Genomic DNA, 24,374 nt, shown 5'->3' with positions numbered 1-24,374 from the left:
AGGCGTGAGCCACCGCACCCAGCCAGTTGAATTCTTATGTATAAACAGAACCAAGCAAATTATTAATGAGAACAGGGATCGGGTTTCCATCCCCCGTTTCTAAAATGGCACCTGGAACATAGTTGATCTTTAAATGTTTCTTCAGGAAGCAAATGATTTCCTACCGCCACCTGTGTTACACTATATGTAGCTGTGAGTTATCTGTGGCCTTTTGGCACGCTAGTGATACTGAATGTGTTGTTTAGGGACTGCATTAATCTGCTTTCTCCCTGCATCCCCTCCCCTCCCCTCACACCAGTCTCCCTATATCAAACCCTGAGTGGAGACTGCTTTGAATCACCCATGAAAACCAGAGCCAGGTCAGCCTGGTATTGAGACCAAGAGAAATAATAACCTTTATCACCAAGCCTAGCAGTTCACATTCCCCTGAATCAACAAAATGGCTAAAAGAATAAATGGTAGATTTGATTTTCCCCTACCTTCTCACTTCCTCCTCCTCCTCAATACAGAGCAGTTGATAGAACTTAAATAAGATCAGGGGTCTGCTTTTCAATCCATTCCATTCTCCCACAAGTCAGCCTCAATAATTACATTTATTTCTTAAAATATGTGTATGTAAAGCACTTTTTTTTTGGATGTGCTGTCTTTAAGGGTAGGTGACAAGACTCATTTTCCAACTTGTATCCATATGGAAAAGTGGTTTGGGTCACCCCAAGCAAATGGAAGTAAGCCAATCCAGTTACCTCTAAACACCTTTTATCACAAAGTTTTTATTGAACAAAAATAATATGACAGTAAAAATGATACATAAAGTGAAGATTTGCAGTCATAGAAAAGATGTGTACAAAGAGACCAACATTCAGGTTATATAGTTCTATAAAACTTTTCCCATAGCAGTTTAACACTGATTAAGCAGACATAAAAGGGAAAAGAAAGTCATTAATGTTCTTTGAAACCTATTTTCTGAGTAAAATACCTCTGCTAACACACACATGCACACACACACAGAATGAGGCAGAGCTATATGAGTGAGTTATTCTTCAGTTCCTCCAGTTCTCTGTTTGTGTTACAGGAGTATTTTCATCCATCAAAAAATTGTAGTATTTTTGCATTTCTAATAAATGGATCTAGAGCATACATTAATCCCAGTTTCCAAAGGAAAAGAAAGAATCAGATCTATAGTCATTTAAATATTTCCAATCAGCATTTACGTAAACAAGTATACTAAAAATAGTAGTTTTGGTTGAGATTTTTGCACATTAACTTCCTTTAGTTTGTAAGAATCATGCATTTTGGATGTGTTCTCTTATCTGACAACACAGTTTTAAATGCTGTCTTTATCTGTTTTGTTTGTTTTACTAATAACACGTAGTTTTGAACCAGTAATTACTTAACAGCTAGGCATGGGGGAGACAGAATTGGACTGAGCACCAATCATTGTTCTACCTTCAGTGAGCTGTGCAGCCATAGGCAACTCCCAGCTTCTGCTGTGCACCTGTCTTGAGCTGGAAACAGGTGGCGGGAAGCATTCTCAAAGGCCCCTTCTAGCACTAACTTTGTATGTTCAGTAAATATCAGTTCCCTGGACCAGCTCCTTTTATTCTGGTACAGAATTATTCTTAGCCTATGGGGTGGGGGTGGGGGGACAGTAGTGTCTATTATTTGTGAATTTTGGAACCAGTGTCATTACTTTACAGTCAAGGAGGCATGTTAGAGTGTTTGGATTTTTATCCCTTGATAAGGGCCCACATCCCCACATACAGAGATGCTCAATTCCAATTGAAAAACCTCAGAATTTCTAAGTGTCAAAGCAATAGTCTAGATTTTTTTCTGAAAATTCAAGAAATGTGTTTTCTCAAATCTCTTTTTTTATCCTTTCTCATAATCCTGCCACTTAATGCCCAGTTTGGATCAGTTATTTAGTCACATTTCAAGTTAGTTTTTATCATCACTTATAGTTAAGGATTGTAATTAATCTTGAATTTAAAGCTTGGTGCTTTTCAGTTTTCTTGTATTAGAACTTTCCTTCTTCATGTACAGGTGTGGTACCTTTGGACTGGTGCCTGCTGATTTTCTGATGGAACAGAAAATATGTCTGTATTATCACTGCTCCAAATTACATTACACAACAGAATTTACTGGAGTGTTCCAAGTTATCATCAGTTCAGTTCCACGATGATGAGGTTCCTGTAGAATTTTTCATCTGTCAGATTTCCTTCATTCTCCCCTAACTTTAGTAATACATAAAGCAGTGTATCCTCTCTCAGTTTCCACAAGCAAGGCCTTTAGTACCTCCACTCTCTATTTGTATTACAGCAAGTTTTTGATCCATCAAAAATTGTGAACACCTACCTATACTGATGAAGATACCTAGTGTTAAAAATGGTTTCTTTGTTGTTTGGGTTCATCACCACTCTGTGAGCTTCTTCTAAAGCATTAGATTTTTTAAATGTTAATTATAGTTCCAGGGGAACCCCAACTTACTTATACTGACACAGTAAATATATCAGATGGTCGGGATTCCCTATGGAAAACTGAGAAAACCAGGGCTAATTTTTTGAAATAAGAATATGCTAACCTAGGAGATATTCTTGGGCCTGGAATAGCATGAACTTGATGTAGCTTTTCCATCTCAGATTTTTGTCTGGGAGGCATCTAAAAGATAAGATACTGTAAACAGCTAAGGAGGCTAGCCTTTCAAGGTCCATTCTTTTGAAAATGTACTTTAGAACATTTTCTTTTATCAATGTTTATTGTCTAAATATGGCTTAGTTTATTATAAAAACATTACTTGGACATTTACTGAATTTCAGTTCAAAAGAGGTTCTAAGGCAATTCTTATACAATTGAAAGTAAAACAAAACGTGATATATGCTTTCATATTGCCCACTGGTGAAAAATAATGAAATTCTACTAGAGAGCTGTTTGATACTAATTTTCATCTTTCAAACATTTCCTCTTAATACTAAAAAATATATAAATCATTCATTTACATTAAATGCGAAGGAAGGCACAACTGGTTATAGTCTATATAAGCACACAGTTTAGCATACTCAGAACTAAAGAGAAAAAAGCTTCACATCCTTATTAGTTATACTGAAAACCATTAAGAAAAGTTCTTCACTGTCAACAGTGTTCAACACTTAAGAGCTAAAAGGATATAAAAACAAAAACATTAAAATTCACTTAATGCCAAACAGATTTTCATATATACTTGAATATATCAAAAACAGTTTTTAAAATGCTAACATAAATCTAGACTATCCATGTTATGAAAAGTGCAAACCAAATTAACAAGAGTTTCACAATGTCCTTCTCACGACACAGGTAAACTAGCCCGTGGGGACAAATTTGTTTCATCAGTTAATGAGTCCTTAATTGTGGCCAGACGTCATCAGGATTTCTGAGAGTTTGAAGAAAGCAGTACTGGAGAAGCAGCTCTGTCCAGACTGGGGATTGGCACTGGCATGTGGCCATTAAGCAGTGTGGGGAACTGTAGGGGACAAAAGATTTTTACAATAATTATTGCAAATCCATTGGGAAGAACTTAGGTTCTTTACATTCCCATACAGTCCATAGCAGTCCATTTCTCTCATCACCCCTGTGATAGAGATTAGTTGCCAATGTATTTTACAGAATAATTGGAAGATGACAATGAGATCAAGATTTACATAGAGCAAACAAAGGATAAGGCCCAGAAAATGTCCCTAATTATTCTATATGCATAGGCTACTAGGAAAAAATATATAATTTATATGTTGCTAAAGCATCTTCTAACACTATTTTTTAAAAGTTCTAAGCTACTCAGGATGCTGATAATGCTATAAATATTAAAATAATGTTTAATATTAAATATTAAAAGAGTGTTTTGAAAACCATAGACTCTTTACATGTGAGTCAGTAATTTCTAATACTATATTTTGAAATTTGCCATCAGTTTTTCAGGGTACTACAAAGATGATTCTTGCAGCATTTATTCTAAAGTAAGAAATGTATTTAAAGATTTAGAATAGATTATTTTGGAGCTAAGAAAGTATTCTAATTAAAATATCACACAGATCACTCATAAGTGACAAAGAATAAGATTTCTGTATTGTTGTTCACTAAGATGATAAATATAGTAGGATGACAGTATATGCTCTGATAATGAGTTTCAGGTCTGAAACAAATATGTTAGTTGCAATCCCAACTGAACAAGGCCTTTTAATATGTGACTACTTGCAACTAGATTTTCGTTGTTGAGGATGATGTGTCAAAAAGATCTCCTGGGCTGTCTTTTCTAGCTTATTTCCTATTTAGTCCAGGAAAGTTAAACTTCAGCGCCAAATATCAAATTACAGAGCCTGACACATGTTAGAAGTACAACAAATACTTATATTTAAGTAAATATGTTTTTGCAATTTTCAAACAATTTCAGTAACTTGTGTCTAGTACCTTAGAGTTTATCAAGGCTTGTCATTTCATTTGATACCTAGGAGCTGTAACGTAAGTTTTGTTGTCCCCATTTTACAGATGAGAAAACAGATTTCAAATAAGTTCTGTTGGCTAAAGGTCACACAGCTAATAAGCAACACAGCCAAGTTTTAAACAAATCTTTCTGTACCAACATTTTACAACTTTTTATTTTGGTAGGAGTTAGGGGGTATCTTTAATTACTGTTTTAATTTCTTTAATGATTATTGGCATATTCAAGGTTTTTGTTTCTTTTCTGGAACTTTAGAATTTTAACTTTTTCTAGAATTGTATTCACTTCAACTGCATTATCAAATCTATGCACATATAGTTTATACTCTTGTTTAAAAGGTCCGTGCTACTAACCACTCTTCCCATTGAGTTAGAGTGAACATGGGAAGATGAACAGATTTTAAATTTTCATTTATTTATTTATTTTATTTAGAGATAGGGTCTGGCTCTGTCACCCAGGCTGGAGCATAGTGATGCAATATTGGCTCACTGCAACCTCCACCTCCCAGCCATCCTCCCACTTCAGCCTCCTAAGTAGCTGGGACTACAGGTGGATGCCACCATGCCTAGCTAATTTTTGTATGTTTGGTAAATACGAGGTTTCACCATGTTGCCCAGGCTGGTCTGGAACTCCTGAGCTCAAGCAACTGGCCTGCCTCAGCCTCCCAAAGTGCTGGGATTGCAGATGTCAGCCACTGTGCCCAGCCTGCATTTTCATTCTTTTTGTTTATTTGCATCTTCTCTCTCTTTGGTGTACCTTATTGGTGTTTTCAAGAGAATCAGTTTTGGTATTCATCTGTTTTGCAAAATAAATTACTGATTTCTGCCCTTATTATTTCTGTATACTCAATGGACATAGTTTCTCTTGATTAGCCTGGCTTTTCTAACATTTTTTTAGTCATCTTTATTAGGCTCTTCTCCCATGACACTCCCCTATTTTAAACTGCAACGTTTCCCAAACTTTTGTCCCCAGCCACCTTTTCTCCAGTACCATGCTTGGACTTGACAACCATTTCCATTTTAGACATCTCCAACCAATGCCTCTTTCCCACAAAACTCGCCCTTCTTCCATTGCTTACTCCAAGTCAGTGAGAATGGTGGCTGGGACCACAAACTTAAAACTTGAGTCAGGGCTCCACCACTTACGAGTGTGTTATCTTGAATAAACTAGCCAATATCCCTGTGCCTTAGTTTCTTATCTCTAAAATAGAATTACTGGGAGTATTAAATGAGAAGCCACCAAAAGTGCTAAGAACAACGTCTTGCACACAATAAGTCATCAATCATCAATAAATGTTAACTATTGTTATGTTTTATCTTTATTTTTTCAGACAGGATCACTCTGTCGCCCAGGTTTGAGTGCAGTGGCATGCTCATGGCTCACTACAGCCTCAACCTCCAGGGCTCAAGCAGTGCTGCCACCTCAGCCTCCCTAGTAGTTGGGACCACAGGCACACGCCAGCACACGTGGCCAATTTTTGTATTTTTTTTGGAGAGACAGGGTCTTGCTATGTTGCCCCTGATGGTCTCGAACTCTTGGGCTCAAGTGATCCACCCATGTCACCCTCCCAAAGTGCTGGGATTACAGGCATGAACCACCATGCCCGGCCTTAACTATTGTTATTTAGTAGCATTTCCAGTATGTTAATCACTTAGTAATCTTTGCTTCTACTTAATTTTCAATACCTACTTTACCCCTCAGACCCAGCTCAAAGTCTGCCTCTCTTGAGCTCACCTCTAAAATGTCTTCTAATTATATCCTGTGTCCACTGTTTTAATCTCAAAGATGATTCTCCCTTCAATATTTGTAGTATCATTTCCTCTAGCCAGGTATGGTCGTTGACACCTGTAATCCTAGCCCTTCCTAGGAAGCTAAAGCAGGAGGACTGCTCGAGCCCAGGAGTTCAAAACCAGCCTGAGCAATATAGTGAGACCTCGTTTCTACAAAAAAATTTCAAAACTTAGCCAGGCTTGGTGGCATATGCCTGTAGTTGTAGTCCCAGCTACTTGAGAGGCTGAGGTGGGAGGATCGCTTGAGCCCAGGAGGCAGAGGTTGCAGTGAGCCGAGATTGTGCCACCGCACTCCAGCCTGGGCAGCACAGCGAGCTCATCTCAAAAAATAAAAATAAAAATTTCCTCTTATCTTCCTGTTCCTTCCACTTTCTCTTCAGTTCTTCCTCCACACTAATATCAGTGATTGTTCTCTAAAACAGAGATCTCATCCTCCTACCTCCAGCTTAAAAAGCGTAAACATTTAACAGATAAAGAGAGAAATTCCTAAGCCTATATTCAAGGCCCACAGCTGCGTTTCCAACCTTATCTCCTATCACCTGGTCCCTTCCTGAACAGACTCTCACGTCCCCGTCATTCGGCTCTATTCATCTAAATGTACTCGATCGAAATCCTGTCCCTTCCTCCCAGCTGAGGCGCCACTGCTTCCTTGGAGCCTGTCCAGTGGCCAGCTGGAAAAAGCGCGTCTGCCCCTTACTTTCTGCAGCAGTTTGTTTACTCATCCACTATTCACATATTCTCTGTCCCTACAGTCCTTGTCGCAGAGCATTGCAAATATTTGCTGGGGTTAGATTTGTTGAACTAAAAATTACAGCACACATTCTTAATTGAAAACTTAATTAGCTCTACCTTGTTTCAAGACATACCTATTCCTACTAGGTATATTCCACATTGGAACAAAATCTGTTTCAAAAGTCATGGAACAGACATCCTTAGACAAGAAGAAAATAATAAACTGTCCAAGAAAAACCGAGTTCACTTTATTTATATAAATCAAGGTTCTTTGTTTACATTTAGCACAATGTCTTCGGTGCCTCTCTCCTTACCTAAACATTTCTCAATTTTAAAGCATACCTCTTCCAGAAAGGCGTCTTCTCTCTCCTTCCTTGGAATTCTTTCATATCTGCTATAACCTGCTATAGTAATCATATTAGGGGCCCTTCTGTACAAAAATGCTTCAGCTGTTCAACTATTACCCCAAGGATTCTGATCAACCTTTCCAATCATGGTAATAGGAAACTTGCCAGCATCATTTAAAATGTGTAAGCCAAATCTATTTTTTTCTTCCTTCATTACATCTATAGCGTACATGAAAGAGGTTTGTTGTTATTTTGAAAGAAAATTATTTTCATCAGTTTAAAAGGGATGTTGGCCAGCGTGGTGGTATGCCTGTAGTCCCAGCTACTCCAGAGGCTGAAGTGGAGGACTACTTGAACCCAGGAGTTCAAGACCAGCCTGGACAACATAATGAGACCCCGTCTCTAAATTTAAAAAAAAAAAAAAGTTCTTAAAAAAATAAGAGGCACTGCTGATAGTAATCTGAATTCTGAATATGTATCAATTGTAACATCTAGTTTTAAAAATCAGAAAGTTATTCCTCTACCATATTTTGTTGTTTACCGTTCTCAAAATTGCTATTTTCAACTTTTGCCATACTCAGTTGCTCTTTTCACAGGAAGACTAATAATATTTTAAAAGGCAAAAAATTGTTTTTCCTTAGTCTCCTGGATCCAGCCACAAAAAGAGAGCCCAAGGCCATACAACCTGTCAGCCATCCGGAATACCAGCTTGTCTTTTTTTTCAAGGGTTGTATTCTGAATGGCTTCAGGAAAGAGAACAGGTCCACTTGGTGAAATTAAAACTCTAAGCAGGTAGCCTTTAAATGCAGTAATTTCTGATGCAGAATTCTAAATATAAACTAGGAACCTCTGGTCTGCAGTGCTTCTCAAATTGGTTCCTAGACTGGGTAGTATCACTAGGAACATGACAAAAATGTTTTTGGGCCAGGCACGGTGGCTTACACCTGTAATCGCAGCAATTTGGGAGACCAAGGCAGGCAGGTCACTTGAGGTCAGGAGTTTGGGACCAGCCTGGCCAACATGGCAAAACTCCATCTCTACTAAAAATACAAAAATTAACTGTGTGTGGTGGTACACGCCTGTAGTCCTAGCTATTTGGGATGCTGAAGCAAGAGAATCACTTGGACCCAGGAGGTGGAAATTGCAGTGAGCAGAGATCACACCACTGCACTCCAGCCTGGGCAACAGAGTGAGACTCTGTCTCAAAAAAAAAAAAAAAAAAAGTTTTTATCAGGCCCTATCCCAGACCTACTGAGTCAGAAACTCTGGGAGTGGGGCCCTGCAATCTTTATTTTAACTCACCCTCTAGGAGATTATTTTGCATGCTAACTTTGAGAACCATTGGTCTACAGTAGTGACTGAGGACTGAAGAAACGAGCGGATGCACGTATCCCAACTCCCAGAGATCCTGATAACGTGTCGAATCACTGTAGACATGAACCATCATTTCCTGTTGGGAGTGTTGGGCTGGAAAAGGTATCTAAGACAAGGAATCCCAAAGAACCCCCAGCCAATAGTGCTCCATTGCTTTCCTAGGAGGTTGCCAAGGCCTGCACCAATCAGGTGGCAGAATTCCCAGTAAGGAGAGAAATGAGAGGCCACTTATTATTCACAAATACCTACTGAACTCTACAGAAGCTCTGTGTTAGATTCTAGGATTAGAGTAGTATAACAATCCCTACTGCCATGGAGTTTACTGTAACCAAACAATTTCTTTCTATTCTATTAATTTTAGAATTCTGCTGCTCTAATCTTAAGACTTTCAGGAAATGAGGTGTTTTTATCTCTCCACCAAAAGATTAGTATTCCTAATTTTAAACTTTCCTAATACAACATTTGCTCATTGCTTTTTGCTATTTCTAGTTTCTCTTTTCCTACCCAAGCTGAAATTGTTAAAAATCAACATGACTATAGCTCAAGTTGTTGTGATGGGAATAAGGGCTGTGAAAGAGATAGAAACCCAATTACTCCAAGGATATGGTCACTTCATGACACCCTACCCTAACTCCACTAGGAAACCAAAGAAGCAAGATGGCAATCAAAACCTCTTTAGCTCCACCCTTACAAAGAGACCCTGAATCCCAGCATGTACAGCTCCTGGCACAGAGGAGGTACTCAGCAGACATTAACCTTGACAAGCAAAATGACCAGCTCAGATGATCATGAAGACTTGCTATTAATACTGGCCTTTCTCAGACTTCTCTTTGTGAATTCATTTAGACAGTCAATTATTACTGAGCCTCACTTGTGTACCAAGCCATGTGCCAGATGCTGGGGACACCACAGTGAACAGGATTCCATTCTGGTCTCGAGGGCCCATAGTTTAGTGAGAAAGATTGCCAGATCAACAGGCAATCATAATACAAAGTGCCACGTGCTAGATGAAATGGTATCCAAAGAGCTGCAACTAACTTGGGGTAAGCCACACTGTGGGGCACAGGATACAGGCAGGGACGATGAGAAAAGCTAGAATTTGGGAAAGAGGGAGTTTGCACTGGGTCCACCTTTTCTTCAGTCCTGTCCCTAGGATTCTTTCCACCTGCACTCAACATATTCAAACAGTAACACCTTAATCAGTGAGTAATGATCTATGGGTCTCAAGGAGGAAATACTGATTTCTCCATGATAGCAAGTGACGGTCCTGCAAGATTCTGGTGTGTGAATGAATAATGAAGGTGCTCGCCTAGTATGGAGAGTTCTATAAGATAAAGCAGCTAAGTCTTCATTATTTTTTAACCAAATGCCCTGGATTCTCCTTTTTCATTACAGAACAAGGAGAACTTAATGATGATTCATAAAATGATGCAAGTAATTTTTCTATCCCAGGATGGGGAAATTGTTCACTATTTTTATTTTCACTTTATGTCAAACAAGTTGCTACATTAACTAGGAGGATTAATATTTTAAAGTCTTTTGTGGACTTTTATAAATAATAATATTTATTTTCATTTTATTTTAAATATAGATGGGGTCTTGCTGTGTTGCCCAGGCTGGTCTCAAACTCCTGGGCTCAAACAATCCTCCCACCCTCAACCTCCCAAAGTGCTGGGATTACAGGTGTGAGCCATCACACTGGCCTAAAGAATAATTCTTAAAGTTTTGCCTTTTCCTTAATAAATTTCCTGTTTTCATAGACAAATGAAAATATGCAAAACACTTTAAGAACTAATTGTTCCACGTATGGGTGTCTGGCATGAGTCTGCAATTTCTGCCTCAATGAAAATGTCTGCCTCTGAAGGGCGTGCAACCCCACTAACATGAACCCCCTCTGGACATTTAATATTTCAACTCAACATATGGCAAAACTCACCGTTACCTCTGCAGGATTTAGAGAAAAAACCATCCCTCAGAAGCTTAATGTTCAAAAGTTCATTTCCAAACGCTCACCTGGAACAGCGTGCTTGGCCCTTGCAGCCTGGCAGGACTCAGCGGAGCAACTGGACTAAGGCTGCTCCAGAAATGTATGCTGGAGAGCAGTGGACTCGGAGTCAGAAGCAATCCATTTGGTGTCTGGGAAGTAAAGCAAACAGACTTCTTCATATAGGTTCACCTGACTTGGGCCATGATCAACAGAGCAGCAGAGAGAGGTTAGGTAGGCTAGGCATGGGCCAGGAAACGACCTTACCATCTCAGGAAAACTGGCAACGTTAATTCTGAGGGGCTGTGAACAGTTTAATTTTAATTTTCTTTTCTTTTGGAGACAGTCTCGCTCTGTCACCCAGGCTGGAGTGCAATGGCGCGATCTTGGTTCACTATAACCTCCACTTCCTGGGTTTAAGCGATTCTCCTGCCTCAGCCTCCCAAGCAGCTGGGATTACAGGCACCCACCACCGACTAATTTTTGTATTTTTAGTAGAGAAGGGGTTTCATTACGTTGGCCAGGCTGGTCTCGAACTCCTGACCTCAAGTGATCTGCCCACCTCAGCCTCCCAAAGTGCTGGGATTACAGGCGTGAGCCACCATACCTGGCTGGCTAGTTTTCTTCAATGCTAATTTTATTAACACTTTTTTCATAAAGGAAAAAGGTATTGACACATTACCTTCCCTAAACATTCTGGTGGAAAATTCAAGTTTGTATCAACTTTCGTCCGAATGGTTTGTTAACTTGTTCCCCTTCCCAGATTAAACAAGGATTAGTATACAAACAAAATAGGATCCCATAAAGGGGCTTTAATTCTTCTTATCTATATTTTCCTGTGTTTCTACAGTGGACATCTATTACTTGGGTTACGAACACACGTTTTTAAATGGTCTCCATATCAACAGCTGTTAAGGCTTTGGGATTTGCTGTTAAAATACCCTGTAGCAGCCTCTTCAGAAGCTCTGAGCCGGGTTTTCCAGATTCCTTCCGGATGTGGAGTTGATGAGAATTCATTGCCCTGGCAATGGTTTGGGTGGGGGCAGGGAGGGCCCTTTCTTGTCAGATTGGGTATAAAGCCAAAACCCTGGGTTTCCCAGGGGAGTTCCAAGGACTGAATTTCTTGCACACACACAGCAGGAGTCCTGGCCTGCAAGCCAGCAGGAGGGCAGAAGAAACACCCGCCCAGCTGCTAAGTCTGCATGGCTTTTATTCTCAGTGGAGACAAACTCCCCGGCCCAGGGTGGTTTTGTACCTTTGGTGACTAGAAGGAGTCCCTCAGTGGTTTTGTGATGTCAATAAGGTGCTTTGTGTAAGAAGAACCACAGCAAAGGCGCCAGCCTTTCAGACTGCACCATGCTGGATGCTAAAGTGTTATTTTTTCCTAGAATTGGCCTCCGTAGCATCATTAATTACCAACAGCATTTGGCTTAAACCTAAATTGAAAGGTCTGCTCTGTTCAGCAGAATGGAGACAAACATCCAAAGTTCCTCAAACTGTGAAGCTGCTGAAATGTAAACACATTTATACCAAATTATTTGAGTCGTTGGTTCCATGGCATTTCCTACATACTGAATGACCTATGAGGTTACTAGAATAAATACATGTTTTGAATAAGCTTCCCATTTGTTCTAGTCCAAGGCAATTTCACAAGCATGCCAGGCCATCTGGCCTAACAGTTAAAACTTCACGGCTCAGCATGAGCTCTGCCAGGGTTCCAATCTCAGAACCACTACTTCCCAGCCAGGTAACCTCAGGCAAGCCACCTAACCTCTCTCTGTCTCAGTTGCCTCATCTGTAAAATGGGGAGAATAAAAATGCCCACGTTACAGGGTTGTTGGGAAGATTAAATAAGCTGATCTACTGCAAGCTCTTATAAGATATGTGCCTGGCATATAGAAATGCTCAACAAGTGCCAGAGGCAGTTATCTGGCTAGGTACTTCATACATGTTTTTGAATGAATAAATGGATTGGTAATTAATTGAAAGTATACATGACATACTTACTAAACGTACTTCATCTATGTGAGGGAGAAATTCTCAACTGTATACAGAGAAGGACTTAATCCTCTGAAACAGACCAACTCAACTGAGTCAGCCTGGACTTGGAGGCTACTGTCAGTTGTGTTAGGCTCAAGGCCACAAGCTCAGGTGTTCTGAAAACTAATATTTGCATGTTACTCTGGAGCAAGGTTCCAACCTCAATATGTCACATTAACATTTAATAACCAGTGTGTTCAAGGCCTCCTAGTTTATCCATCAATGAAGGCTCTCAAAGCTTTAAAGAGACAATCTTCTAAACCACAAAACACAGCTATCCTTCTCTCCTCCATGGCCATCATATGCCCATTCCTTTTTAATCCTCTAAGCAATGTACAAGGTCTAGAATTTCTATTTCTCTGGTCTAAAACGTATACCCATGTCTGGATTTGAGATGTTTGCACATTTGTTTCTTAGGAATACAGGATGTACTCAGACTACTGTAGCCTTCTTGTTTCTCATCTTTAATATGTCTGAAATGTCTTCTATAATATATGCAAATAAACACTGTAAAATGATTTCATTCCCTCCTCTCCCTTCTATCCCTGAAGTTCTCCCTGAAAATCCTGTGGCCTTAAAGAACCATGTGGTTGCTTTTTTAAGGAAAGTTCCTATAACACCTGCTCTGGGTTATCTCCGGGACAGTGTGAGACTTCACAGCCTCTCTCCACACGCTCCTGGAGTCAGGCAGAGTGGGCTGAGCCTGAGGGCCAAGGGCTAAAGAAGCCACAGCAAAAAGTGCTGTTTTCTTTCCTTCCCCAAAGACAGTCTCGTTTTAACAAGCATGGCAGATAAGGAGCTCCTGATCCCACGGCTGCTGGGAAAGGAGATGCCACAGGCAATGCATTTGCAAAGAGTAAGACCCTCATCCCAAGATCCCCTTTTCATTTTCCCCACTCAGTTCATCTTCCACTTCCACTTCATAGAGTCTCCTAAAAAGCCTGCACATCTGAGCTCGCCAGGGTGAGCTGGCATCCAGGCATGCCCACCTGTGCACCCCTGCCCCGGCCCGCTGCCTCCTCCTCTTGCCTTCCTCTGCCCATCAAAATGCCACCTCCTCCAAGGACACTTTCCTGATCTCCCCTCAACCAGATGGGATTTCTTATTTCTGAATCTTTGTAACACTTTGTGACCATTTTTTTCTTAACATTTAACATGTTCTGCCTCCTATTATGGTGATTGGCACATTTTTCTTATTCTTTCTGTAGCCTTTAAGGTATCTGCTCATCTTTATTCCTCCTGTACTTTCATCTCCTAAATACCAATGAACTGAAGCCATCTGCAGCTCTAGCTGGGTCCCCCCTGGCTTATCGCTTGTTGGGCATCTCCACTTGGATGCCCCACCATGCTCCAACTTCATGAAGCTCAGCACCTTTCCACATCAGTGTTTCTTAAGACTCTTCCCCTTCTGTCAACAGGACCACCGTGTAGGCACTGCCTCAATAAATACTGACCGAGAGTGCAAACTATGTTTCAGGTGCCACAGATGAGGATAAAACAAGACATAAACCCTGCATGCACAGCCCCATTTACCACCCGCATCCCAGGCCCCACCATGCAAAATGCCTTCCGATAACTGCAAGCTCCGGACATAGCCTCTGGAGGAGTCCCACAACTCAGTCTCCTGTTTATCCCTCATTTCCATTCCTGCTGCATCCAAGCCCCTATCACCTTACAGATGGCATTCCACAACAGCTGCCCAGGCCAGTCCACCTGCCTCCGGTCTCCCCATCTATTCTGTACCCCATCGCCAAATCAACCACCCTCAAACACTGAGTTCACTCAACATTCAGTCACCATTTCAGAAAGGATGTGATGTCCTCCTTAGCCCCAGATTTGAGGTTCCCCATAATCTGGGTTCACACACTTGCTAACTTCTGAGGACTAAGCTCTCATTTTTTATCTTGCCCAAATTCCTACCTAGGGGTCTAGGGAGTCATGCCCTACAAACCGTAAATTCTCATCAGATGGGTTTTATTTGACCCTATATATGGTGACTTACTTTTCAATCTGACTCTGGAGTAACATTATGGAACGAGGAAAAAATATTTAACCCCAAAATATATTTCCTTGCCATACCTTGAAGTTGCCTGGCAATTTCATGACGTCTCATGCCTCCCTAAAATATATAAAACCAAACTGTACCCCGACCACCTGGGGCACATGTTCTCAGGACCTCCTGTGGACTGTGTCACAGGCCATGGTCACTCATATTTGGCTCAGAATAAATCTCTTCAAATATTTTACAGAGTTTGACTCTTCGTAGACACTTCCCTCCCCAAACCCTCTTACTTGCTTTGATGTGTCCTGAGCTTTCCTCATATGCACGGAGGAACAGGCATTCTAACCCAACAGTCCTTCAACGCTCCCTCAGAACTTCCCTGACCACCCAGCCCAGCCCATAGTTCCCTGGGCTACAGGCCCTCTCCACAAGTGACCTCATCCGTTCCCATGGTTTCACCACCCCTTGCGTGTTGATGACTGCCTAACTTCCTCTCCGGCTCCAAAACACTCTCCGCTCTCCAGATGCAGCTGGACTTTTCCACCCGAATTTCCTGCAGGGTCCTCAAACTCAGCATGGCCCCGACTGGACGTTTAGCCTTTTCCCAGGGAGCTTAGTCTTCCTCCCATGTTCCTCACACTCAATTCTGGCTCTCCCCACTCCTCCCACCCAGTCAGTCACCAACTCCTGCTGACGGCACTCCCAACATCAGATCCATCCCTCTGACCCCTCCCACCATACAGCCTTAGATACTCATGGTCTTTCGCCTGGAATATTCCAATAGCATCCTACTTGGATCCAGCCTTCCCCCTTCCCAATCTCGCCAGCAGGGTGATTCCTAAAACAATTCAGACTGTCACTCATACCCCTTCAATGCTTCCTATTGCTATACCTCCCCTAATCACAAAGCTATTTCACGTATCTATGCCTTGCCTCAAGCTGTTCCTCTGCCGACGATGCCTTCCTCTCCCTGTCTACCCTGCCACAGGCTGATCCTTCAACACCCTGTACCAGTGGTCTCACCCCCTCCAGGAAGCCCTCTGGACATTCTTCCTCCATCTCAGGCAAAGTTAATACCTTCCTCCTTAGGATTCCTTTTGCAACTTAGTATTCCTTTTGTATTGCACCTGAGATACTAGATGAAGGGACTTAAGTTATGAGCTCCTAACTATCAGAGACTATTTTATCCACGTTTGTAGCCCCAGCTCCAAACACAGCAGCTTTCACATGATGGGCACTCAGTTCATGTGTGTTGACCTGAACTAAACGATCTTGCCCCTCAGCTCCTAAAGCGCTTCTCTGTGCTGCATGTTTGACTCTTGCCAAGGGCTATTGTGTGTGTGTGTGCACTTGTAATGCCTTGTTGTCATGGCTAGGTCCTAAGGTCATAAAAACAAGCAACTGTAGTTTTGGTGTCCTTTCTAGGCTCTGTTATTGCTCAATAATTATTTGTTGATTCTAATGAGATTTTTTTCACTTATACCTCTAGCAGCTGTTTATTTACTTATTTATCTTTGAGATAGAATCTCACTCTGTCACCCAGGCTGGGGTGCAGTGGCACAATCTTGGCTCACTGTAACCTCTGCCTCCCGGGTTCAAGCGATTCTCCTGCCTCAGCCTCCCGAGTAGCTGAGATTACAGGCATGCACCACCACACCCAGCTAATTTTCTTATCTTTAGTAGAGATGGGGTTTGGCCATGTTGGCCAGGTTGGTCTTGAACTCCTGACCTCAAGCTATCCGCCCCCTTGGCCTCCCTAAATATTGGGATTACAGGCGTGAGCCACTGCGCCCAGCCTCTAGCAGTTAATTTCCAATCCAAACAAGTCAAAATTCCTTAGCCAGTTCTCAGGGTCCTCCATAATTTCACACCACCCTAAATTATAACCCTATGTTATATATTGCCCCGTATGCTGGACAGCAACCTGTAAACTCATGAGAACAGGAACGGTTTCTATCTTGCTAACCTCTGTATCTCCAGGTATCTAAGCGAATGCTTAGTTTTCAGTGATTATCTCCCAAATGAATGAATACATGATAAACATTTGTTACTGGACTGATTAAAGAAGATGCAGAAGTATTTGCTGATCACTTGATTTGGTGATCTGAGATACCGGTAAGTCACTCAGTCTCTAAGAAAGTAAAGGAGAGAGAAACAAGATGTCTAGCAGGTTGTACCCACAAATATCTGTAATCCTAAGCTCCCACAGATGCCAACAGAATCCATGACAATGCCACCTTGAGGTTAAAAAAATGTCCTCAAATAAAAGGTGACTGAATCTCTGGAAGCTCCTAAAGTTGTCTGAATTCAAGTGAAACCATGGTTTTAAGGTCTTTAAAAGGTGAGTTAATCCCACAGAAGTCTGTAGCACTGATCCTACGGAAAAGGAGACAAAATGGAGACTCCCATGGGGGCCTAGGGTAGCTACAGAAAGGGACAGGGGAGGAAGCAGGGCAGAACCAGGGACAAGGAGGCAGAGTCATGAAGACTGGGGTGGCTGTGGCAGTTTCTTAAAATAAGACAATAATGAAGTTTGCCACATTGATTGACTCTTTTATTTATTTATTTATTTTTTTGGTGAGATGCGAGTTTCGCTCTTGTTGTCCAGGCTGGAGTGCGGTGGCGTGATCTCGGCTCATCACAACCTCCACCTCCCAGGTTCAAGTGATTCTCCTGCCTCAGGCTCCCAAGTAGTGGGATTACAGGCATCTGCCACCAAACCTGGCTAATTTTTGTACTTTTAGTAGAGACGGGGTTTTGCCATGTTGGCCAGGCTGGTCTTGAACTCCTGACCTCAGGTGATCCACCCGCCTTGGCCTCCCAAAGTGCTGCGATTACAGGCGTGAGCCAGCGCACCTGGCCCAATTGATTATTCCTTTCATGAAAGATTTCTCTATGGCATGTGATGCTGTTTGATAGCATTTTACCCAGAGTAGAACTTCTTTCAAAATTGGAGTCAATCCTCTCAAACCCTGCCGCTGCTTTATCAACTAAGTAATGTAATGTAAAGTTATGTAATATTCTCAGTCCTTTGTTGTCATTTCAACAATATTCACAGCGTCTTCAACAGGAGTAGATTCTATCTCAAGAAACCACTTTCTCTGCTCATCTGTGAGAAGCAACTACTCACCCAATCAAGTTTGATCAATAAATTGCAGCAATTTGGTTGCATCTCCAGGCTCCACTTCTAATGCTAGTTCTCTTGCTATTTCTACCACATCTGCAGTTCCCTCCTCCAATGAAGTCTTGAACCCTTCAAAGTGATCCATGAGGGCTGGAATCAGTTTCTTCCAAACTCCTGTTAATGTTGATATTTTGACCTCCTCCCATGAATCATGAATATTCTTAATAGCATCTAGGATGGTGACTCCTTTCCAGAAGGTTTTCAATTGACTTTGCCCAGATCCATCAGAGGAATCACTATCTATGGCAGCTGTAGCTTTATGAAATGTATTTATTAAGTAATAAGACTTGAAAGTCAAAATTACTCCTTGACTTCTGGGTTGTAGAATGGATGTTGTATTTGCAGGCATGAAAAATATTAATCTTCTTGTATATCTCCATGAGAGCTCTTGGGTAACCAGATGCACTGTAATGAGCAGTAATATTTTGAAAGGAATCTTTTTTCTGAGTAGTAGGTCTCACCTGGGCTTAAACTATTCCATAAACTGTGAAAACAGATGTGCTGTCGTCCAGACTTTGTTGTTCCATTTACAGAGCACAGGCAGAGTGTATTTAGTAGCACTGGCTTCAACTTAAAGTCACAAGCTGTACTAACAAGACTCAGCCTGTCCTTTGAAGCTCTGAAGCCAGGCATGGACTTCTCTTCTCCAGCTATGAAAGTCCTAGATGGCATCTTCTTCCAGTAGAAGGCCGTTTCACCTACAGTGAAGCTGTTTGACGTAGCCACCTTCATCAATGAGCGTAGCTAGATCTTCTGGACAGCTTACTGCAGCTTCTCCATTAGCACTCGCTGCTTCACCTTGCACTTTTATGTTATGGAGATGGCTTTTTTCTTTAAACCTCATGAACCAACCTCTGCTAGCTTCACACTTTTCTTCTGCAGCTTCTTCGCCTCTCTCAGCATTCAAAGAATTGAAGAGTTAGGGCCTTGCTCTGGGTTAGCCTGAAAGGAATGTTGTGGCTGGTTTGATCTTCTATCCAGACCACTAAAACTTTCTCCATATCAACAATCAGGATGTCCCACTTTCTTATCATTCATGTTTTCACTGACGTAGCACTTTCATTTCCTTCAGGAACTCTTCCTTTACATTTACATACTTAACTGGTATAAGAGCCCCCTAGCTTTAGGCCTGTCTCGGTTTTGGACATGCCTTCACCGTCATCATTCTAGCTTTGGATTTAAAATGAGAGATGCGCAGCTCTTCCTTTCTCTTGAACACTTTATAGGCCACTATAGGGTTATCAATTGGCCTAATTTCAAAATTGTTGTGTTTCAGGGAATAGGGAGACCCAAGGAGAGGGAGACACAGGAGAGCAGTTGGGACACACACAACACTGATCAAGTTTGACACAGGAGAGCAGTTGGGACACACACAACACTGATCAAGTTTGCTGTCTTATACAGGTGTGGTTCATGGTGCCCCAAAACAATGACAATAGTAGTATCAAAGCTCGCTGATCTCAGAGCACTATAACAGACATAATAGTAAGGAAAAAGTTGGAAATGTTTGAGAATTACCAAAATGTGACATTGAAACACGGAGTGAGTGTGTGCTGTTGGAAGAACAGACTGGCGCTGACAAGACTTGCTCAGCGCCAGGTTGCCACAAACCTTCGATTTGTAAAAACCACCAATTAATTGTGAAACGTAATAAAGCAAAGTACAGTAAAATGAGGGATGCCTGTATGAGGTGTGATAAGGTAACCACGTGACACAGGCCATGCCAAGGCTCCCTTACTTCTCCCCTTCTTCCTGCCATGATTCTAGCTGGAAATAACCAACCTTCGGAATTTGTACCTTCAGGGTATCGGGTTATTACAGCACACACAGCTTTCACCTCTTCCAAAGCCCACCACTAAGCAAAGCTGACAGCCCACAGATTATCAAATGTTTATGTGCACACAGCATCACACTGCACACAGCACACCCCCCACACACAGAGAAAAGGAGAGTTTCTGTGACAAAGTGCTCAGGTAAGAGGAAAACCACTGAAGCCTCACTGCTGCCTGTGGAACACCCTGAACCCCACAGTTGTCCTTCACTCCTGAGGCCGAAAGGAATTCCACAGAATGCCTGGCTGTTGAGAGCCACGCTGTTTCTGGCTGTCACCTGGAAGACAAACTACTGAGCTGGTGCTGGTGGGTGAGTTTCTGGGGCACCCCCTGAAGCAGCTCCCAGGGGAGGGAATCTGAGAGTCCAAATCTGACACTGACATACCCTAATCCTAAACCACCCCTGGCTTCAAGATATCCTATCTGATCTCAGGGAATCCGCCTGGGTGAAACCGGCTGCAAGAACTCAACTCTGAATAAGTACCACACCCCTGACTACCACCCGGGCCCCTCTGGTGTCTCCCTCATTGCCCCTTCTCTCCCTCCCTGTTGGCCACCCATGGCCATGCCAGGAGCAGAGCCCACACTCTGGGAATGTGAGGGAAGTTCAAAGTGGGGTCTGAGTCCCGAGGCTCTACCATCTCCCAGTGTAGCTGGTGACCCCCTTAGTTTTGCGTGGTTTAGAGGACTGCCTGGTGCCCCTCCTCCTCCTTTGACCCGAAGGCCCTCTCTGAGCCAGGTCCCTTTACTTCCACTCTCCTGCCCTGGGTCCAGATGCTGCCTGTTGCCTCCCTCCCCTCAGGACCATTTCTGGGCTTCCTGGCACTAAATCATCACAGCCCCACCCTCACAGCTTGGCTGAGGACCAGGCACCCTCACTGCCTAAGGCACAGGTCCTCTTGTAAAGATCCTGGCTTTCCTACGCCTTCCCACCTAGTTTCAGGCCATGCTGGTGGCTTCTGGCTCCTGGTCGTGCCCTCTGCATCCATTTGTTGGGCATCCACCCTTGATCCTTCTCTCACGCCCTCAGCCCCACCGATGGGAGCCACCACTCCATCCACATTATCCACAGGGCTGGCTGAGCTGACTTCCTCTGAGACAGGGCTGGCATCTGCCTCACTCTGTTCTGAGAAGGTGATCCAGGCTCCCAGGGAACACAGACACCTAAATCAGAGTCAGCCCTGGCCTGGCTTCGGACCTTTCTCACCCTGACAGTTGTAAACACACAGGAGGCCAGGGGAGGAGATGCTCAGATCATCTACCCTGGCCCTGCCTCTCAAGATACTCCCCTGAGCTACATCAGGAGCTGCTGTTTCTGAGCCATTTGCTCAGCAGCCCTTGGTCACTGGACAGCCTTGCTTAACTGGAAGATGCCTGATTTAAGAGCACACGTGCTCACTCTGACCTATATCCTGATCCCCTGGCCCTCCCCCTCCGCAGTGGCGCGCGTCACCACCAGCTCACAGGCTTGAGCTGTCATGAAATCCTGGGCAGAATCCAGTCCAGAGAAAGCGTGGAGAGGACAGTGGCCCAGAGCTGCTTTCAGGTGCTCCATGGACGGCCATCGTGATCAGGGACACTGCCTTCTCGCAGCGGGAATGCATTTCATTTGAGAGCATGGATTCTGGAGGCAGACACTGGATCCAAAGCCACCTCTACCACCTATTGGCTGTGGGACCCTGGACGAACTACTTTACCTCTGTGCCTCATTTATCTCAGCTGGGAAACAGGATGATAATAATAGCACAGGCTCAGCATCCCAAATCCAAAAATTCCCAAATCCCAAATCCTCCAGAATCTGAAACTTTCTGAGTCCTGACATGACACTCCAAGGAAATGCTCATTGCAACATTTTGGATTTCAGATTTTCAGATGTGGGATATTCAACTGGCAAGTATCATGCAAATATTCCAAAATCTGAAAACATCTGAACTCTGAAATGCTTCTGGTCACAAGCATTTTGGAAACAGGATGCTCAACCTGTATCCACGTGACAGGGCTGCTGTAAGTGTGGATACAGGCAATGCATGTAAAGCATCTGGAGCAGTGCCTGGCACACGTGGGGAGCCCGTCATATGCTGCCGCGGCTGCTGCTAATGACAACAGGGACAACTACGATGAGATTACAGAGGCAGGGGACGGGTGCAGCTCCACGGTTAACAATGCTACCAGGTGTCCCCAGCTCACAAAGCCTGTCCATGGTCCCATTTTCCACACATGGAACCTGGCCCAGAGAGCAACCGCCCACAGTCCCACTCCTAGGAAGCAGGGTAGCCAGGAACTGAATGCAGGTCTGTGAACCTAAAACGAATACTCTTTTAACCTCTGCCACTAAAATTGCATCCAATTTTCAAGGGGAAGGAGAAATATGGTTTCCCAGCACCTACTACGCCTTTGCACTGCAATTGTCAGCTGGACAAGAAAGAGCATCTGAATATCTGATTTAAAGGAAAAGGCTGCTTTCTCTTTGGGACTAATAACAACGAAGGCTTTTTTGGCTCTGCAAGTTTGCTGTCCTCTCGCCAGTGCTGTGGACTGGGGCTTTCTCAGAGTAGTGCTGCTTTCAGCGAAGCAGCTGTTTGGGGTGGCCCCTTTGTTTCTTATTACCTACGCTATGACCACAGCTCCACACTGACATGCGATGGCGGCATCAGTTGACATCTATTTTCTTGTTAACAGAACACAAGTGGCTCCTTATTAAGCGCCCCCAGAGAAGATTCTGCCATAAAAATTTCATAAAGCCCAAGCGCCTCCCGAAATGTAAACTGGCCCGCTCAACTTTCCCTTGGAAATCGCTGGTGAGATCTGCTTTGTCGGCCAGTGTGCGTGTTCCACCTATGGTCACTTTAGGCCGCTAAAAGCAAGAAACCAATCAAGCATCCCACTAGAGTCGACAAACCAAACCCTGTCTCATGTGCACCCCTTGGTCTGAGGATGGAAAAGCAGCTTCCCTTCACATTTACACAGTGACCTCGGTACGAGTCATAGGACAACGTTTTGAGGGACAGAAGGAAGTCTCTTTAGTTGCTCTTCCTTTTTTGCTAAGCCACTGAAGCTGGCTGTGGCTTAGATGACAGGAATGACTCTTACCTGTGCGGTGAAGAAGGCTGGGGTGAGGGATCCCGAGGGGAGGGCTGGGCTGTTGAGGGCGATGGAGCCGATGTCGGTGCCGGAGAGCACCAGCGGGGGCGCTGAGATTTCCAAGCCTTTGGGTTTTTTGGCCTTTGGGGGAAGAGATGGAGACTTGGTCTTGGAGCCCGATGACAGGTTCAAGGGCTCCAGGGAATCGGAGTCATGGCAGGCGGCCTCCAGGAAGAGGCTTCTGTGTTCAGAAGGGAGGGGTGAGTTGGGGGACAGGGACGGGGACCGAGATGAGAAGGGTGAGGCGGATGAAATACTGGCAGCGTTTGGCAACATTAAAGAGGAGATCTTGGCCGAGACGGACGAGGCCAGGAAGGCGGACGCCGCCGCAGCCTCTGACGTGGAAGGCAGGGACACCACCGGCCTGGTGACGTGCTTGTCGGTTTTATTGGTCACAAACCTGATCACAGTCCTGACTTCTTCCACGGGGGGGCTGTCTTCGGGCGGCTCCTCCAGCTTCTCCGTCTTGATGGCCTTGAAGGCGTCTGGTGGGTTCTGCAGGGAATTAATGGTGAAGGACGAGTACAGGCCTGAGTGGATGTATTCGTTGCGGCTCGTGCTTCTGAGGGCGGCCAGGCCGTGTTTGTGGGCCTCGCGGCCCTCCGGAGACGCCTTGCAGTCGCTGTCCTGCAGCAGAAGGCTCTCCCGGCTGATCTCCACCGCGTGAGGATCCATCTTCAGGATCTCCGGGAAAGAGACAAACTTGTACACAAACTTCTGCCCGATCACCTTCTTGATGATGTTCTGCAAATACAAAAGTAGACGTTGAAAATCTGAGTGCACCCGAGAAACCATGTAAGAGCTCATGATAATGGTAAATGTCGCTGGCAGAAGCACCAAAATGTTCCTGATTTACATTCTTGGCTAAGGAAAAGTGGAAGGAGGAATGAAGTTGGAAGTAGAATTAGATGTGCATTCCAGTTCTGCCATTACTAGATCTTTGTGATCTTTGGCAAATTAAGTGCCACTTTGAGTTTCCTCGTCTGTAAAGTAAGGAAGATGATGATGATGATGATGATTTCTTAGACAGGGTCTCACTCTGTCGCACAGGCTGGAGTGCAGTGGCACGAACATGGCTCACTGCAGCCTCAACCTCCTGGACTCAAGCAATCCTCCTGCCTCCACCTCCTGAGTGGCTGGGACTACAGGTACATGCCACCACACCCTGCTAATTTTTACATTTTTATTTTTTGTGGAGACAGCATCTCACTTGGTTGCTCAGGCTGGTCTCAAACTCCTGGACTCAAGCAATCCCCCAACCTTGGCCGAGTGAGGATTATTCTATGTAATAACATAGTAACAGCTGCCATTTATGAAGCCTTTACTATGTGGATGGGATTATTCATATCTTATCTCATACAATCTGAACAGCAATCCTAAAAGGAAGGTGTTGTGACTCCTATTTTAAAAATTTGGAAAATAAGCTTAGAGCACTTCCCTAACTCACATGACCACCTGCTAGGAAGTGAAGTGGTAGAGGCAG

The 24,374-nt window shown here is 43.5% G+C and overlaps 1 protein-coding gene across 12 annotated transcripts in view; it reads right to left on the bottom strand.

The window, feature by feature from the left end:
• Positions 1 to 750: 750 nt before the first annotated feature.
• The window catches only part of ELK3 (ETS transcription factor ELK3), a 75,450-nt gene continuing 51,826 nt past the window's right edge, over positions 751 to 24,374 (bottom strand). For 3 of the 12 annotated variants that reach the window (NM_001413761.1, NM_001413760.1, NM_005230.4), the window contains 3 exons: positions 22,841 to 23,635; positions 10,722 to 10,844; positions 751 to 3,493 (listed from right to left, as the gene is read on the bottom strand). In NM_001413761.1, the coding sequence (NP_001400690.1) occupies positions 3,395 to 3,493; positions 10,722 to 10,844; positions 22,841 to 23,635 (1,017 nt within the window). In that variant the 3' untranslated portion in view covers positions 751 to 3,394. Of the gene's footprint in view, positions 3,494 to 10,644; positions 10,845 to 15,024; positions 15,078 to 22,840; positions 23,636 to 24,374 lie in introns of those variants that run through there. The other 9 variants (NR_182215.1, NR_182214.1, NM_001413763.1 and 6 more) reach the window with 8 other exon arrangements.

Source organism: Homo sapiens, chromosome 12 (genome assembly GCF_000001405.40).
Source record: "Homo sapiens chromosome 12, GRCh38.p14 Primary Assembly".
Classification (NCBI taxonomy): domain Eukaryota; kingdom Metazoa; phylum Chordata; class Mammalia; order Primates; family Hominidae; genus Homo; species Homo sapiens.
This window is presented reverse-complemented; position numbering and strand designations above follow the sequence as displayed.